The 18944-nt window shown below is 44.9% G+C and overlaps 1 protein-coding gene and 1 non-coding gene across 2 annotated transcripts, besides 1 other annotated feature; both read right to left on the bottom strand.

Moving 5' to 3' along the window:
* Window positions 1-3305: 3305 nt before the first annotated feature.
* On the bottom strand, window positions 3306-12472 carry GTF3C6 (general transcription factor IIIC subunit 6). Its single transcript, NM_138408.4, has 6 exons — window positions 12352-12472; window positions 11926-12006; window positions 10701-10764; window positions 10562-10606; window positions 8673-8786; window positions 3306-3668 (listed from the first exon to the last, which is right to left on the bottom strand). Exons 1-6 carry the CDS (start codon window positions 12406-12408, stop codon window positions 3388-3390), a joined length of 642 nt encoding a protein of 213 aa, NP_612417.1. The 5' UTR covers window positions 12409-12472; the 3' UTR covers window positions 3306-3387.
* On the bottom strand, window positions 7609-7712 carry LOC124901533 (small nucleolar RNA U13). Its single transcript, XR_007059964.1, has one exon. It is a non-coding gene; the product is annotated as a small nucleolar RNA U13 (small nucleolar RNA).
* Window positions 12150-12599: an enhancer, noted in NCBI's record as "active region_24940". NCBI's record gives its function as "activates an Ori minimal core promoter by ATAC-STARR-seq in GM12878 lymphoblastoid cells {active_cell/tissue: GM12878}" and the evidence as "EXISTENCE:reporter gene assay evidence [ECO:0000049][PMID:35858748]".

The raw sequence follows: 18944 nt of genomic DNA, 5'->3' as shown, positions 1-18944 counted from the left end.
AAAATGCTTTTTATTAAGGTATTTTCCAATTAAATACAAAACTTTTTGAAGAAAAAATTCTTTGGGCCAGGCATGATGGCTCACACCTGTAATTATAGTACTTTGTCAAGGCAGGAGGATCACTTGAGCTCACTAGTTTGAGACCAGCCTGGGCAACATGGCAAAACCCTATCTCTACAAAAAATACAAAAATAAGCTGGGTGTGGTCACACACCCCTGTAGTCCAGCTACTAGGGAGGCTGAGGTGGGAGGATGGCTTAAGCCCACGAGGTGGAGGTTGCAGTGAGCCCAGATTGTGCCACTGCACTACAGCCTGGGTGATAGAGCCAGAACTTGATTTAAAAAAAAAAAAAATTCTTCATCCTAGAACATTAGCTCTTTAATCTGTTAAAATAGCTATATCTCCATCAATTGTGAGATGTAATTAACATGAGGTATGTTTTAACTTACTGGTACTAGGTTAAACTATAGGAAATTGCTGTTGTTTTGTAGTTGGAAACAATCAAATATTAGCAATTTTACACAGCTCAACAAAGTATCAAAGTATCAAAGAGTGAATAATTTACTTAAAAAATATAAACTAGCACAGATTTATTTTACTGCCATAATAAAATGACTAATACAGCTGACTTCCAATAATCTTTCTCAAGTGGGAATTATTTTTCTTGATAAAATACTTTGTTGTAGACTAAAAATAGGCCCCAAAGATTTCCATGCCCTAATCCCTAGTATTAATGCCTGTGTATGTTAAATGACCTAGCAAAAGAGACTTTGCAGATGGAATTAATGTTTTTTGGTTTTTTGGGGTTTTTTTTGAGACGGAGTCTCACTCTGTCACCCAGGCTGGAGTGCAGTGGTGCAATCTCAGCTCACTGCAACCTCCGCCTCCCAGGTTCAAGCAATTCTCCTGCCTCAGCCTCCTGAGTAGCTGGGATTACAGGTGTGCACCACCACACCTGGCTAATTTTTGTATTTTTAGTAGAGATGGGGTTTCACCATGTTGGCCAGGCTGGTCTCAATCTCCTGACCTTGTGATCTGCCCACCTCGGCCTCCCAAAGTGGTGGGATTACAGGTGTGAGCCACTGCACCTGGCCAGAATTAATGTTATACACCTTTGGCTGGGTGCAGTGGTTCATGCCTGTAATCCCAGCACATCCAGAGGCTAAGACAGGAGGATCACTAGAGCCCAGGAGTACAAGACCAGCCTGGGCAACATAATGAGACCCCATCTCTTCAAAAAAAATTAAAAAAAACACAGCCAGGCATGTTGGTGCGTGCCTGTAGTCTCACCTACTCAGGAGGCTGAGGTGGGAGGATTGCTTGAGCCTGGGAGTTCAAGGCTGCAGTAAGCTGTGGTCACACCACTGCACTCCAGCCTGGGTGACAGAGCGAGACCTTGTCTCAAAAGAAAAAAAAAAAAGTTGGCCGGGCACAGTGGCTCACGGTTGTAATCCCAGCACTTTGGAAGGCTGAGGCGGGTGGATCATGAGGTCAGGAGATCGAGGCCATCCTGGCTAACACAGTGAAACCCTGTCTCTACTAAAAATATAAAAAATTAGCCGGGCGTGGTGGCAGGCGCCTGTAGTCCCAGCTACCCAGGAGGCTGAGGCAGGAGAATGGCGTGAACCCGGGAGGCAGAGCTTGCAGTGAGCCAAGATTGAGCCACTGCACTCCAGCCTGGGCAACAGAGCGAGACTCTGTCTCAAAAAAAAAAAAAAAAAGTTATCAACCTTAAAATAGGCAGATTATCAGGCCAGGCGCGGTGGCTCACGCCTGTAATCCCAGCACTTTGAGAGGCAGAAGCGGGTGGATCATGAGGTCAGGAGGTCGAGACCATCCTGGCTAACACGGTGAAACCCCGTCTCTACTAAAAATAAAAAAAAAATTAGCCAGGCATGGTGGTGGTCACCTGTAGTCCCAGCCACTCGGGAGGCTGAGGCAGGAGAATGGCGTGAACTCGGGAGGCGGAGCTTGCAGTGAGCAGAGATCTTGCCACTGCACTCCAGCCTGGGCAACAGCGTGAGACTGTCTCAAAAAAAAAAAGGGAGATTATCCAAGTGGGCCCAGAGTAATCAAATAGACATTTAACAGTGGAAATGGAAGACAGAAGGGTAGGTCAGAGAGAGGGATGATAGAAGTAACAGGAATGATTCAAAATGGGAGAGGGACTTCACCCACTATTGCAGGCTCTGAAGAAAAGGGGATCATGAGCCAAGGAATGAAGGCAGCCTTCAGAAGCTAGAAATGACCCTCAGCTAACAGACAACAAGGAAAGGAGACTTTGATCCTTTAACTGCAAAGAACTGAATTCTGCCAACAACTAAATAAACAAGGAAATGGATTTGCCCCCTACCCCAAAACCTCCATAAAGGAATGCATTCCTGCCAGCACCTTGAATTTAGCCCAGGTAAGACCCGCGTCACACTTCTCACCTACAAAACTATAAGAGAGTACATTTGTGTTAAGTCACTGAGTTTGTAGTAATTTGTAACAGCCTCAAAGGAAAACTTTATATACTTACCTTAATACAACCTTGAATTTAAAGGACTCAGAAGGGTCCCTAAAGTCATTTAAAAATATTTCATTTTACTTTTTTTTTTTTTGAGACAGAGTCTTGCTCTGTCGCCCAGGCTGGATTGCAGTGGCGCAGCTCACTGCAAGCTCCGCCTGCCGGGTTCACGCCATTCTCCTGCCTCAGCCTCCCAAGTAGCTGGGACTACGGGCGCCCCCACCACGCCTGGCTAATTTTGTGTATTTTTAGTAGAGACGGGTTTTCACCGTGTTAGCCAGGATAGTCTTGATCTCCTGACTTCATGATCCACCCACCTCAGCCTCCCAAAGTGCTGGTATTACAGGCGTAAGCCACCGCGCCCGGCCTCATTTTACTTATTTTTTGAGACGGTCTCACTGTGTCACCCAGGCGAGAGTACAGAGGTGCAAACACAGCTCACTGCACCCTCGAGTTCCCAGTCCCAGGCCATCCTCCCACGTCAGCTGCCCAGTAGCTGGTACCATAGGCACACGACACTATGTCCAGCTAATTCTAAAAAACTTTTTGTAGAGACAGGGCCTCCCTATGTTACGCAGACTGGTCTCAAACTCCTAGGCTGCTCAAGTGATCCTCCCACCTCAGCTTCCCAAAGTGCTGAGATTACAGGTGTGAGCCACTGCACCCAGCCTAAACTGTATTTTAAAAATCCAACTCATGTCTGGTCCCAAATGATTCTGGTACAATAAGTTGTGTTATGACTGGATATGTGTGTATAGCCAATAAAATGCAATAAAATATTAAAAGACTGAAAGCTACACAGCAATTATTTTTATGTAACAACTCTAAAAAGTTCTTGACAAGTTATTATGAGAAACATTTCATCTAGGAGTGATTTCTAAGGCAGCATTTGAGTTTCCATAAAAACAGAACCTTCTGTCTCAGAAGGTATATCAATAAGAGGACCAGAATCTTCTATTTCCAAGTGCATTGGTTTCTCCTGTTCACAACTCAGGTTTGAACTGTCGTTCATTTGAATCTCTTCCTCTTCCAATTCCAAAGATTTATCTGGGGCTGAAGCTACCACTTCTTCGTCTTCATTTTCATGTAGAAAGTTACAAATCATGTTGGGTCGATAGGAGAAATCATTATCCTTTATTTGCAGCCATTCCACCCCACCTAATTTGGAGGGGATGAGGAATAAACAAAAAAAGAAACAAAAAATGAATTTTAGTATATTTTTCTTTAATTTAAATTTCTATCCTATGAATACATGTCAAACTGAAAGCCTAACATAAACCAAGGAATATGGTGTCTGTAACTACTGATAAAATATAATTTGCATCTTCTCTGGAGACCTTGGAATGCCTATTAGGTAGGTACCATCAAAATCACTACGTTACCAACTTTGATTACTATTCCATGCCTTTTTCCAGAGTTCAGTTCTCAGCTCATTCTAAGAAATAATTTGAGCACTCTCTGCCATCTCATGCCTTCAAGGAAACTTATCACTTCCCTACAATGTTTTTTTTTTTAAGACAAAGTCTCGCTCTGTCACCCAGGCTGGAGTGCAGTGGGTACGATCTTGGCTCAGTGCAACCTCCGCCTCCCTGGTTCAAGCGATTCTTGTGCCTCAGCCCCCCGAGTAGCTGGGATTACAGGTGTGTGCCACCATGCCTGGCTAATTTTTGTATTTCAATAGAGACGGAATTTCACTATGTTGGCCAGGCTGGTCTCGAACTCCTGACTTCAAGCCATCCACCCGCCTCACCTCCCAAAGTGCTGGGATCACAGGCATGACCCACTGCGCCTGGTTATTAGTCCTTTTTCTTCCAATTCAGCTTCAACTATAGATATTCATATTTTTTTCCCGCAATAACATCGTTCTCCTAGTCAGCCAGACTCAAAATCTTGAAGCTTTCCTTTATTCTGTTATTTAGCACAGTACTTAAAATAGAATGAATTTGATGTTCACTCTTATTCATCCATGTCTGTTTCAATGTAATTTACTTTAGAATGCAAGTTCCTAGAAGGTAACGGTCACACTTCCTCTGTCCTGTTTTGCCTCCAGCATGTAGCCGTGTTTGGTAGCCAGACTGCAAGATGGTCCCCAATGATCTTCACCTTCCTGGTATTCATGCCCCTGTGTAGTCCTGTCCCATACTGAATAGGATATTGTGGAAATGACAAGACTGTGACTTTTTTTTTCTTTGAGATGGAGTCTCACTTTGTCACCCAGGCTGGAGTGCAGTAGCATGATCTCGGCTCACTGCAACCTCCGCCTCCTGGGTTCAAGCAATTCTCCCACCTCAGCCTCCCGAGTAGCTGGGATTACAGGTGCATGCCACCATACCTGGCTAATTTTTTGTATCTTTAGTGGAAATGGGGGGTCTCACCATATTGGCCAGGCTGGTCTTGAACTCCTGACCTCAAGTGATCCACCTGCCTTGGCCTCCCAAAGTGCTGGGATTACAGGTGTGAGCCACCACGCCTAGCCAAGACTGTGACTTCTAAGGCTAGTTCATAAAAGACACTGTGGCTTCTACCTTGTTTTCTTGGAATACTTTATCTGAGAGAAGCCAGCTGCCATATCAGGAGGACATTCAAACAGTCTTGTGAGGAGGACAACATGTCAAGGAACTGAGGCCTCCTGCCAACAACCAAAACAAATTTACAAGCCATATGAATAAGCCATTTTACTTCCAGCATTAGTCAAGCCTTCAGATGACTGCAGCCTAGATAACATTTTGACTGCAACCTTATCAGAGACCTGGAGCCAGAACCACCTACCTAAACTGCTCCCAAATTCCTGATTCACGGAAACTGTAAGATACTGGTTTTTTGTTGTTGTTTTAAGCTGTCAAGTTTAGGGATAATTTGTTATGCAGCAGTAGGTAACCAATGCAGACTCGAATTGTTGGTTGCTCATTTACTTGACTAAACAAAACACCCAAATATTCCCAAAGATCTGTCAGATTATTAAAGACTAGGAAGAGGAAACTCACTCTAATAAGAATATCCCAATGATAGCTAAGCTTATGATACAAGTCAGCCTTTCAAGTTTATTCTAGAACCTAGTACCTCTTTCTTCTTATAATTATTACAAGGTGCCTAAAAAAGGGGATAGTTCAGGGATATACATAATAGGAACAAGGGTTTATTATATAGTTGTATATAGATGATACAATTAATTTTATAAGATCAATGTACCTTCAAATGTTTATTCCTTGTTAAGCTATACTCATCATGAGAATCTTATTTACTAGAGTTTCAAATATGTTGTTGAGCAGTGAACTTTTAAACCATCAAATTATTATTTTTTCAACTCCACAAACGTGTCTGCTTCAGGTGAAAGAAGCACTAGTCTAAAAGTCTCTAGTATGTGGTGACTAGCAAGTGAAGAAGAATAAGTGGATGCAAATTAAGAACTCATCACTGTAATCCCAACACTTTGGGAGGCTGAGGCAGGAGGATCACTTGAGCCCAGGAGTTTGAGACCAGCTGGGTAACATAGTAAGATCCTGTCTCTATTTAAAAAAAAAAAAAAAAAAAAAAGGTTGGGTGCGGTGGTGCACACCTGTAATCCCAAAACTTTGGGAGGCTGAGGTGGGCGGATCACTTGAGGTCGGGAGTTCGAGACCAGCCTGACCAACATGGAGAAACCCCATCTCTCTACTAAAAATACAAAATTAGCTGGGCGTGCTGGTGCGTGCCTGTAATCCCAGCTACTCAGGAGGCTGAGGCAGGAGAATTACTTCAACCCAGGAGGCGGAGGTTGCAGTGAGCCGAGATCGCACTACTGTACTCCAGCCTGGGCAACAAGAGCGAAATTCGTCTCCAAAAAAAAAAAAAAGAAAAAAAACTCCGTCTCTACTAAAAATTAGCCGGGCGTGGTGGTGGGCACCTGTAATCCCAGCTACTCAGGAGGCTGAGGAATGAGAATCACTTGAACCTGGGAGGCAGAGGTTGCAGTGAGCTGAGATCACGCCACTGCACTCCAGCCTGGGGGATGGAGTAAGACTCTGTCTCCAGGAAAGAAAAAAAGAAAAACGTCAAAAGGAAAAGAAAGGCTGGGCACAGTGGTCTCTTCAGGAGTTCTAGGCAAGCCCAGGCAACAGGGTGAGACTCCGTCTCTACTAAAAATACAAAGGCTGGGTGCAGCATCTCATGCCTGTAATCCCAGCACTTTGGGAGGCTGAGGCAAGCAGATCATGAAGTCAGTTCCAGACCAGCCTGACCAACATGGTGAAACCCTGTCTCTACTAAAAATACAAAAATTAGCTGGGCATGGTGGCATGCGCCTGTAGTCTCAGCTACTCAGGAGGGTGAGGCAGGAGAATCGCTTGAACCTGGGAGGTGGAGGTTGCAGTAAGCAGAGATCGCGCCACTGCACTCCAGCCTGGGCGACGGAGTGAAACTCCATCTCAAAAAAAAAGAAAACAAAAACAAAAAAAAGAAATAGCCAGGCATGGTGGAACACGCCTGTGGTCCCAACTACTGGGGAGGCTGAGGTAGGGGGATGGGGGGCAGAGGTCACAGTGAGCCAACATCACACCACTGCATTCCAGCCTGGGTGACAGGGTGAGACCCTGTCTCAAATAAAATAATTTAATAATAATAACAAAAACTAGACTGAGGACTAACAACTGTGGTCCTACAGTCTCCCCCACATTTAAAGCCAGCTTTTGGCCAGGGGCGGTGGCTCACACCTGTAATCCCAGCACTTTGGGAGGCCGAGGCAGGTTGATCATCTGAGGTCAGGAGTTCAAGACCAGCCTGGCCAACATGGCGAAGCCCTGTCTCTAATAAAAATACAAAAATCATCCAGGCCTAGTGGTGCATGCCTGTAATCCCAGCTACTCGGGAGGCTGAGGCAGGAGAATCGCTTGCACCCAAGAGGTGGAGATTGCAGTGAGCCAAGATGGCTCCACTGTACTCCAGCCTGAGTGACAGAGCGAGACTGTCTCCAAAAAAAAAAAAAAAAAGCCAGCTTTTTCCAGATGTGAGCCTGTTGAAGGCTGCTGCAGCTGCCAGAAGTTTCCAGGGGATTTCACCTTGGGAATTCAGAACTATTGTGATCATATCCACTTTGCTCACAAGGAAGTTTTTTCCCCCCACACATCAGACAGGTAATATGCTGACATCATAACAAGGTTTGAGGGAGGCACATCTTACACATGAATGTAAAAACATAATCATCATGCTTATGAACTACAAAAAGATACAAGGAAGTTTTTAATTAAAGAGGGGAGAGGGAGAAGGAGAAGAGAGAGACAGAGAAGCACTACTGAATTCCCTAGGGCTTAGATACCAAGTTTCTTCAAAAACTCCTCAGTCATTTCCAGTGCCAAGCAGATAAAAGATTTCTATGTCCCCAGTGCCCTAAGCTATATGAGAGTTCAACTGAATTTTAACTCTGCTTGGTACTTTAGATGGAGTACCCTCAATTTTAATATATTAAACATATTATGAGGCCAGGCACAGTGGCTCACACCTGTAATTGCAGCACTTTGTAGGCCAAGGTAGGTGGATCACTTGAGGTCAGGAGTTTAAGACCAGCCTGGCCAACACGGTAAAATCCGGTCTCTACTAAAAAAAATTAGCCGGGCGTGGCCAGGCACCGGTGGCTCACGCCTGTAATCCCAGCACTTTGGGAAGCCAAGGCGGGCGGATCATGACGTCAAGAGATTGAGAGCATCCTGGCCAACACTGTAAAACCCCGTCTATACTAAAAATACAAAAATTAGCTGGCCCTGGTGGTGCGTGCCTGTAGTCCCAGCTACTCCGGAGGCTGAGGCAGCAGAATCGCTTGAACCCGGGAGGCGGAGGTTGCAGTGAGCCGAGATCGCGACACTGCACTCCGGCCCGGGCGACAGTGCGAGACTTCGTCTGGATAAGAAAAAAGAAAAAAAAAGAAAATTGGCTGGGCGTGGTGGTGGGTGCCTGTAATCCCTGTTGCTCAGGAGCCTGGGGAAAGAGAATTGCTTGAGCCCAGGAGGCGGAGGTGGCAGTGAGCCGAGATTGTGCCAGTGCATTCCAGCCTGGGTGACAGAGCAAGACTGTCTGAAAAAACAAAAATCATGTATAGTTATTACTAAAAAGTACAAGGACTATCCTGGCATCAATGTATCATTGTCAAAGCCAGTACTGGATCACCTGTTTTCAGAGAATAATGGAACTAACCTATGTTTTCTTCTCCTTCCTTCTTCTCTGTCAGGAGAGTTCTTGTCATGCTGAGCTTCTTCATTGTATGGCATTTATATTTTAGCACTGTTTTATTATTGCCTTCTGTATCAGCTGGAACAGAAATGAACAACATTATTATACTTCTTATGCCATCAAATAAAACAAAGATGAAGCCTTAGTAATTCCAGTGTAGGGAGTCAGATTAAACTACTTCCTGTCAAGATAGTGTAGTAAATTCAAGGTATAACTCATCCCTCCTGCTCCAAGCATAGAAAAATGATAGATAAAATACATTAACAGGCTGGGCACGGTGGCTCACACCTGTAATCCCTGCACTTTGGGAGGCCGAGGCGAGTGGTTCACCTGAGGTCGGGAGTTTGAGACCAGCCTGGCCAACATGATGAAATCCCGTCTCTACTAAAGATACAAAAAATTCGCTGGGCATGGTGGCACACGCCTGTAATCCCAGCTACTCGGGAGGCTGAGACAGGAGAAATGCTTGAACCCAGGAGGCGGAGGTTGCAGTGAGCAGAGATTGTGCCACTGCACTCCAGCCTGGGCAACAAAAGCAAAACTGTCTCAAGAAAAAAAAAAAAATACGTTAACAGTTGAAAGCACAACTGGATTCAAAAGTAACAAACATCTTCAAGGGACAGAAACACAGAGTTATGAGTGAGATTAAACCCATAGGTCTAACAGGCTTCATCCTTGAAATGGAAATTGGGGCCAGGAATTTTACCCTACAGCGTATTGGGATCTAAAATTCTACCAATCAAATTAAGGACCAAAGTCAGACTTACTACCTGAAGCCAAAGTATGGAGTAGGGACATTCTCAATCATGAAAGCCTGAGGAAAAAAATTGCTGCCAACCTGCTGCCTGGAGTTGAAACTTTCAGAAAACTGTATGCCTAGGCAGGACGGAGGATAAGGCCCTTGAGCCAAGGATATGAAGCACAGACACTTCCATACATTGCTACTGTGAGTATAAATTGATACCATACTTTAGAAAGTAGGCTGCTCTGCCTATGAAGTAGCCCTTCTTTTATTCCTTGGCCAGGAGTGGTGGCTCACACCTGTAATCCCAGCACTTTGAGAGGCCGAGGCAGGCAGATCACTTGAGGTCAGGAGTTTGAGATCAGCCTGGCCAACATGGCGAAACCCTGTCTCTACCAAAAATAGAAAAATTACCTAGGCGTGGTGGCAGGCGCCTGTAATCCCAGCTACTCGGGAGGCTGAGGCAGGAGAACTGCTTGAACCTGGGAGGTGGAGGTTGCAGTGAGCCAAGATTGCACCACTGCACTCCAGCCTGGGTGACAGAGTGAGACTCTGTCTCAAAAAAAAAAAGAATTCAGGAGAGTGATCATCTCTGAAGACAGAGGGAAAGAAGTAAGTTTGGAAAGGGGGATAGAAGGACTTCAAATGTATCTGGAATGGGTTCTTTTGTTTGTTTTTGAGACACAGTTTATCTAGCTCTGTTGCCCAGGCTGAAGTGCACTGGTGCGATCTCGGCTCACTGCAACCTCCACCTCCCAGGTTCAAGCAATTCTCGTGCCTCAGTCTCCCGAGTAGCTGGGAGGCACATGCCACCATACCCAGCTAATTTTTGTATTTTTAGTATAAATGAGGTTTTGCCATGTTGGCCAGGCTGGTCTCGAACTCCTGGCCTCAAGTAACCTGCCTGCCTTGGCCTCCCAAAGTGCTGGGATTACAGGATTGAGCCACCTGGCCCAGCCTGGCATTTTTTTTTTTTAACTATAATCTGAGTCACGTTTGGGAAAATGATAGGATATGATACAGCTAGACAGTGGATACATGAGATATTTATTATGCTTAAGTATGATTGAAATAGTTCGTATTAAAAAGGGCTGGGCTAGCAATCACTTACCATGTTCAACATTTTCTTCAAATATAACACAGGTCCCTAGAGTGTCTGCAGAAAAATACAAAGGCAAATTGTTGAGAAGAGCTACCATCTCTGAAAAGCCCATATCAGAAAGAGTTCCATCTATCTGACATCCTCCTACCTTCATACTCCCCAGCAAAGACACAGCTGTCCACTTGCAGAATGGGCCTCTCAGTGTCAATGCCCTACAACAGAATAAAGGATCATAAAAAAAAAACATAATTAGAAAAAGGCTTCAACATTGTAACCTTGCTACCAAGGAAACTAATCTCCAAAACTGGGGAACCTCTAGAGCATCTTGTCCTACCAAGTACAGGATAAACTACAACTGCTCTGATCACAGCAGTTACAACCTGAAGACTACTTAATTCATACTCAAGTAACAAGGTTTATTTCAATCAACATCCTGTTCAAGAGTAAGCTAAAAACAGAGGAAGTTTTGTCAACAGTAGTGCAAAGAGTCTATCTGTCATCTATTTATTTTTTGAGACAGTGTCTAGCTCTGTCACCCAGGCTGGAATGCAGTGGCATGATCATGTTCAGGCAATCCTCCCACCTCAGCCTCCTGAGCAGCAGGGACCACAGGCGCATGCCACCATCCCCAGCTAATTTATTATTATTATTATTTTTTTTTTTTATTGAGATGGAGTTTTGCCCTTTGTTGCCCAGGCTGGAGTACAGTGGCGCGATCTCGGCTCACTGCAACCTCTGCCTCCAGGGATCACGCGATTCTCCTGTCTCGGCCTCCCGAGTAGCTGGGATTACAGGCGCCCACCACCATGCCTGGCTAATTTTTGTATTTCAGTAGAGACGGGGTTACACCATGTTGGCCAGGCTGGTCTCGAACTCCTGGGCTCGTGATCTACCCGCCTCGGCCTCCCAGTATTGGGATTACAGGCGTGAGCCACCGCGCCTGGCCATTTTTTTTTATTATTATTTTAGAGAAGGGGTCTCGTTATGTTGCCTAGGATGGTCTCCAATTCCTGGGCTCAAGTGATCCTCCCACCTCTGCCTCCCAAAGTGCTGAGAATACAGGAATATATGTACGGTTCCATATCACAATGTTACTTCCTCCAAATCTGTAACTTTCTCTTCAGCCACACATTCAAACAGGCAAGCAAAGTTAGCCATTTTCTCCTATCTGCTCCCATAGTCCCCGCTGTACTTCTACATTATACTTAATTACATATTAATTAATTATACTTAGTATACTTCTTATCCTTAGAGTTCACTACTTTGTAAGGTGAAATAAATATATCAATACTTGCGGATAGGTATTTCACCATTGATTCTTGTTTTACATTTAAGACACTCTAGAACAATCCCCCCAAGTCTAGAAAACTCACCAAAACCTTGCATTTATTTTCACATTTTGAGAGGAAGTCTGAATCAATAATTCCTGATAATTCCACCAGAACCAACTGCTCCTGGTGAAAGAAAGAGGGGTTAACATGCTAGCACGCGAGCGGCCAAGAGGGAGCAATTAGCAAAAGAAGCCAAATTTCCCACATTTGTGAAAACCGGACCCTGTTTTCAGCAAGAGGAAACTACGCTACCTAAGGTAACTTCCCGGTACTTCCCATCCCAAGTACGGGGTGACGATTAGGGCTAAGGTCCCAAGCTGCCCGGCTCCTCGCGCCCAGGAGCAAGAAGCCGGTGAGGAGCAGTGGGGCCTCCCTCCGGCCCGCAGCTCCCCAACTCCCTTCCCCACACACAGCCAGCACAGGCATCACCGCCACTGCGGTGCAGGCTTTTGGCGTAGCGCTTACTACCTCCTCTTCCTCGTCTTCTCCGTCCTCTGGACTCCGCTCGTCCGCCGCCGCCGCCATGGTCCCGCGGCGCCTCGCCTTCTAGTCACTGGCCACGCCCGCCCGGAGCCGCCATCTTGAGTACGGGCTTCAGCTCCGAGGCGAAGCAGCTTATTGGGTTCCTGCCGCTCCGCTCCTCGCCGCGCAAATTGCTTCTGCCAGAACTCGAGATGTCGGCTTCCGGCGGGCGGGTGGCTACGGGCGCCGAGAGCGCCGGTACCCACGTGGAGACTCGCCACGGGCCTCCTCGTTTCTCGGTGCCTCAGAGCAGGGGCTGGGGGTGGGCTGCCGTAGGCAGCGGAGCCCGCTCGGTCACGCAAGAGTCGCCGGGCTCTCGGCCCCGCTGGCGGGGAGGACTGGCAAGGCAGAAGGGATAAAGGCGAAAACAAGGAAACCATGGTTTCAGGCGGATCATGGACAGAAAGGCCTTGTGTTTGACCCGAGCACATTTCTTGGAAAGAAATTCTTAATATTGTGTGAGCGCTCATCCTCAATTCAACGTACCCCAAGCCAAGTTAAAGGCACATTCAGTTTAATACTAATGAGCGCCTACACAGTAAAAAGCACTGCACCAGGAGCTATGAAAAATAGAAAGTGGGCTTAAGTTTCAGGCCTGCAGGAGCATAAGATCTGTGAGAGGTACATAAATGGATCCAAGCAAGTGCTGTAAGAGATACACATTGTTATAGGAACACAGAGACCTGGGCAAGAGAAGTTTGAACAGAATTTTCAGAAGTATCCCATAGATGTTTGTGATTGTGAAAGAAACGGTCTTCGTACTTGCGATAGCGTGATCTAGTGGTTAAGATCGTGAGTTTTGGATTTTTATTTATTTATTTATTTGGAGATGGAGTTTTGCTCTTGTTACCCAGGCTGGAGTGCAATGGTGCAATCTCGGCTCACTGCAGCCTCCACCTCCCGGGTTCAAGCGATTCTCCTGCCTCAGCCTCCCGAGTAGCTGGGATTATAGGCATGCGCCACCACGCCCGGCGAATTCTGTTATTTTTAGTAGAGACGGGGTTTCTCCATGTTGGTCAGGCTGGTCTCGAACTCCCGACCTCAGGCGATCCCCCTGCCTGGGCCTCCCAAAATGCTGGGATTACAGGTGTGAGCCACCGTCCCCAGCCTGAGCTTTGGATTTTAATACCAGTCAAGTTCTGCTGCATTATTAACAGCAAGGCTTTGGGCAGATTGGTGGTTGTGAGGATTAAATGAGACAATACATATAAAATAAATTTAGCCCAGTATTCAGCACATAGTAAGCATTTAAAGTGCATTTAATCTATTATTAGTAGTAATATATAAATTTTTTAGTATGATGCTCTTTCTCTCTTTCTTTTATTCATTGTTTGTTTCTTTCTTTCTCTCTTTCTTTCCTTTCTTTTTTGTGACAGGGTCTGGCTCTGTCGCCCAGCCTGGAGTGCAGTGGCGCCATCGTAGCTCCCTGTACCCTCAAACTCCTGGGCTCAAAGGGAGCCTCCTACCTCTGCTTCCTGAGTAACTGGGACTACAGGTGCACGCCACAGCGCCTGTCTTTACATAATGGTTGTATGAGTGTGCCATAACTTGATCCTCTATTTTTTAACACATAGGTTATTTACAATTTGTGGATATTGTAAATAACACTCTTTTGTGTATATTTTTGTCCAGTTGCCTAATTAAATGTATAGGATTTCATAGCTTAAAAAAGTAGAAGGAACACTGGACCTGTTAGAAGTACATTTCAATTCTAGCTCTGAAGCTTAATAATTGTGAAGTTTTCCAACCTCAGTTTTCTTATTTATTATATGAGGATGAAAATAATTATACTTAACACCGGGTGCGGTGTCTCAAGCCTGTAATCCCAGCACTTTAGGATGCTGAGGCGGGCGGATCACAAGGTCAGGAGATTGAGACCATTCTGGCTAACACGATGAAACCCTGTCCCTACTAAAAACACAAAAAAATTAGCTGGGCATGGTGGTGTGCACCTGTAGTCCCAGCTACTCCGGAGGCTGAGGCAGGAGAATGGCGTGAACCCGGGAGGCGGAGCTTGCAGTGAGCCAAGATTGTGCCACTGCACTCCAGCCTGGCCGACAGAGCAAGACTCCGTCTCAAAAAATAATAATAATACTTACTGTGTCTTTTTTGCTTGGAAAGCAAAAATTCAATCGTATATCTAAAAATACTTGGTAAACTGAAAAATTACATAAATTGTCAGATTTTGAGGGAGATGTGGGGAGAGTAAGGAGGAGTGGATAATCCAAGCTGAGGGAACAGCAGAAACAAAGGCTTGAGGAATGAAAATATGTGTGTTTTGAAAGGTTAGTGTGTTATAACTCAAGATGTCCCTTTAAAATAAACAAGCCTCATACTTCTAGCAAAAGTTATTGTTTGGTATTTATGAAGTAATTATTTTTATTTACTTTTAATGATTTACAAAAGAATACACAGTTAAAAGGGAGCTTTTTTTTTTCCTTTTTTTTTTTTTTTTTGAGACGGAGTCTGGCTCTGTCGCCCAGGCTGGAGTGCAGTGCCGTGATCTTGACCCACTGCAATCTCTGCCCCCTGGGTTTAAGCAATTCTTGTGTCTGAGCCTCCCTAGTAGCTGGGATTACAGGTGTACGATACCACACCGGGCTAATTTTTGTATTTTTAGTAGAGACAGGTTTCACCATGTTGGCTAGGCTGGCCTTGAACTCCTGACCTCAAGTGATCCACCTGCCTTGGCCTCCCAAAGTGTGAGCCACCGCGCCCAGCCAGAAAGTGAGCCTTCTACACCTGTCCCCCAACCATTTGTACCAGTTTCTTTTATATCCTTTCAAAGATATTCTGTGTGTTTACAAAAACACGTGTATATAAAATCTGTGAAATAATTTTTATTTTTAATTTTAATTTTTTTTTTGAGACAGTCTCATTCTGTCGCCCAGGCTGGAGTGCAGTGGCACCGTCTCAGCTCCCTGCAACCTCTGCCTCCTGGGTTCAAGCAGTTCTCTTGCCTCAGCCTCCCAAGTAGCTGGGACTACAGGCGCCTGCCACTATGCCCAGCTAATTTTTGTGTTTTTAGTAGAGACAGAGTTTCACCATATTGGCCAGGCTGGTCTTGAACTCCTGACCTCAGGTGATCCACCTGCCTCAGCCTCCCAAAGTGCTGGGATTACAGGTGTGAGCCACCATGCCCAGCCAATAATTTTAATATTATAATGTGGCTTGCAGACTGGAAAACCATTCCCTTGGAAGGAAGGAGGACATCATAGTAATGACTCCATGATCTAGAGCTTGTACCCTGTGAAAATAAGCTTAAAGTTTGAAACATCTCTCAGCTCAAAACAGGAGCTTATTAGGCACAATAAGCATCCATAAGCATCCATAGGCACCCGTCAGCATCAGCTTTGAAAGGAGACAAGCCTTTTGGTGACTGGGAGGAATTTCCACAATCTAACAGTGGGACTCCATTCTTAATACAGTCTACTCTCAATGACTTAGAATTCCTAAAAAGATTAAAAGGAGCGGGGTGCAGTGGCTCAGGCCTGTAATCCCAGAACTTTGGGAGGCTGAGGCGGGAGGACTGCTTAAGCCCAGGAGTTTGAGACCAGACTGGGCCATGTAGTGAGATCTCGTCTCTACAAAAAATTTTAAAAATTACCCAGGTATGGTGGCGCATGTGTTTAGTTTCAGGTTCTTGGGGGTGCTGAGGTGGGAGGCTCGCTTGAGCCCAGGATCTCGAAGCTGCAATGAGCTGCAATCATGCCACTTACTGTACTCCAGCCTGGGTGACAGAGTAAGACCCTGTCTCAAAAAAGAGAAAACATTGTGCCAAGTGAAAGAAGTCAAGACACAGAGGACCACATACTGAATGGTTCCATTTATATGAAATGTCCAGAATAGGCAAGCCTATAAAGAGAGATAGTAGGTTGGGCGTGGTGGCTCACACCTATAATCCCAGCTCTTTGGGAGTCCAAGGTAGGAGTATCCCTTGAGGCCAGGAGTTTGAGACCAGCCTGGGCAACATAGAGAGATCCCATCTCTATCTTTAAAGAGAGAGAGAGATTAGTGGTTGCCAGGGGCTTGGGAGGATGGTGGAATGAGGAGCGACTGCTACTGGATGAGGAGTTCCTTTTTTTTTTTTTTTTTTTAAGTAAAAGCAAGTTTATTAAGAAAGTAAAGGAGCCGGGTGTGGTGGCTCATGCCTGTAATCCCAGTACTTTGGGAGGCCGAGGCAGGTGGATCACCTGAGGTTAGGAGTTCGAGACCAGCTGGCCAACATGGCAAAACCCTGTCTCCACTAAAAATACAAAAATTAGCTGGGTGTGGTGGCGGGTGCCTGTAATCCCAGCTACTTGGGAGACTGAGGTGGGAGAATCGCTTGAACACAAGAGGCGGAGGTTGTGGTGAGCCAAGATCGTGCCCCTGCACTCCAGCCCGGGCGACAAGAGTGAAACTCCGTCTCAAAAAAAAGAAAGTAAAGGAATAAAGGAATGGCTACTCCATAGGCAGAGCAGCAGTTTGGGCTGCTCTACTGATAATACTTAATTAAGTTCATTTTTGATTATATGCTAAACAAGGGGTGGGTTATTTATGAGTTTTCCAGGAAAGGGGTGGGCAATTCGCAGAACTGAGGGTTCCTCCCCGACTTAGACCATATAGGGTAATTTCTGGACATTGCCATGGGATCTGTAAACTGTCATGGCGCTGGTGGGACTGTCTTTTAGCATGCTAATGCATTATAATTAGCATATAATGAACAATGAGGATGACCAGAGGTCACTCTCGTCACCATCTTGGTTTTGGTGGGTTTTGGCCAGCTTCTTTACTTCATCTTGTTTTATCCACAAGGTCTTTATGACCTGTATCTCGTGCTGACCTCCTATCTCATCCTGTGACTTAGAATGCCTAACCTCATGGGAATGCAGCCCAGTAGGTCTCAGTCTTATTTTACCCAGCCCCTATTAAAGATGGAGTTGCTCTAGTTCAAACGCCTCTGACATATTCCCCCACCCTTTTACAAGGGAACCCTTAATCCTAAGGGTTGTAGAGGGATGAAGATCCATTTTCTGTCACTTTTTCAGGATGAATAGGGGCAATTATATTCCTGCCTAACTATGAGGGGCTCTTGTATTCAGAGTAGAGAGGAGCTTAGTCAGAAAGCATCAGTATGGTGAGGGCCACTCATAACTCTTGAGTTCTGACAAAAGGTGATATAGTTTCCAAATTCTAGAGAAAACAGGTAGAGAGAGACTAATATGCTCCAAAGTTTGTTCACAGGAATATACTTTACTCAATTTTTAAAAGCTATAAATAGCTCAAAGGAAAAGTTTTCTTGATTCCAAAGTCAGCCAATTGTGGTGCTTCGGTCTATTTCCTTTGGGTTGGGAGTCTCCTCAGTTTAGTTGCTTCATGGTTTGCCAGGAAGATGTTACTGGAAAGGGGTCCTGATCCAGACCCCAAGAGAGGGTTGTTGGACCTCACACAAGAAAGAAGTTGGGGAGAGTCCATTGAGAAAAGTGAAAGCAAGTTTATTAAGAAAGTAAAGGAATAAAGAAGGGCTACTCCATAGGCAGAGCAGCCAGGAGTTTCTTTTTGGGTGATGAAAATGTTCTGAAATTAATGGCAATGGTTGCACAGTTCTGTTAATGTACCAAAAAAAAAAAAAAAAACCAACTGTATATTTTTAAAGGGTGATTTTTATGGTATATGAATTATATCTTGATAAAGCTGTTTTTTTCCTTTTGTTTTTTGTTTAAAAAAAGAATAGAAACACTTTTAAACTGAACAGAGCAGAGGAAATTTGCTTGGGGCGATCAAGGAAAAATCTTTGAAAGCTAGATAAGGGCTAGAACCATGGTGGCTGCATAGAAATATAATTTGGCTCTGGATCCAAAAAAGATGGCTTAAGGACCCATGGCTGAGAGGAAGAAAAGTTGGAAAGGGTCAAGTGTTATTAGTTTGCTTTAACTGAACCCACTTTAAGCCTTGTCTACTGAAACTAAGGCTGCTGAGGCAGAAATAATTTGAAAAACATTTATTGGAAGCCAAATGTGAGGATTGAACTGGGAAGACACACCAACCAGAGTTAGGAGTGTTCTGGAGTCTGTTACAAGTTACTGGAACAGGCTTTTAAAAGGACGGCCTTTTTTAGGAGAAGGGAGGAGAAGGAGAGGGAGGGAAGGAGAAGGGAGGAGTACTCCTTATACCAAAGTTATTGGAGCGTACAGACAGTACAGAAGTTACAGTCATTGGCTACAGATTGCAACATGCAGGATAAAATGTCTGTGTGCAAGACAATCAGTAAAACTTCATGATCAGAAGTCAGTGTCCTTTCCATTGTCAGTAAGTTATGCATTAATCAGTATGTCAACAATTTGAAGAGCGCACAGATTCTTTACTCAGGGATAGGATGTTGCCATGAGTCACAAGACCTCCCCAAGGCAAGTTAATTTGGAAGCCAGTTTACTTTAAAAGTAAACTACCAAGTGTGACATATAGGTTATCAGCCTCATGATAGTCTCAAAAGATAACTATTATCAAGAATGACATTTAATGAATTATCAAGATTATTTAACAATTAACTAGCAGGG

The sequence above is a fragment of the Homo sapiens genome, chromosome 6 (assembly GCF_000001405.40).
Source record: "Homo sapiens chromosome 6, GRCh38.p14 Primary Assembly".
Taxonomy (NCBI): Eukaryota; Metazoa; Chordata; class Mammalia; order Primates; family Hominidae; genus Homo; species Homo sapiens.
The sequence above is the reverse complement of the archived record's forward strand: the minus strand, read 5'-3'. Positions and strand labels throughout refer to the sequence as shown.

What these genes read in the sequence shown, in the direction of transcription:
- GTF3C6 (NM_138408.4), bottom strand. Translation starts at nt 12,408, where the DNA reads ATGGCGGCGGCGGCGGACGAGCGGAGTCCAGAGGACGGAGAAGACGAG. An exon ending in GAGAAGACGAGGAAGAGGAG is followed by an intron (nt 12,007 to 12,351) that starts GTAGTAAGCGCT and finishes TTCTTTCACCAG; the next exon opens with GAGCAGTTGGTTCTGGTGGA. An exon ending in CTTTGCTGGGGAGTATGAAG is followed by an intron (nt 10,607 to 10,700) that starts GTAGGAGGATGT and finishes ATTTTTCTGCAG; the next exon opens with ACACTCTAGGGACCTGTGTT.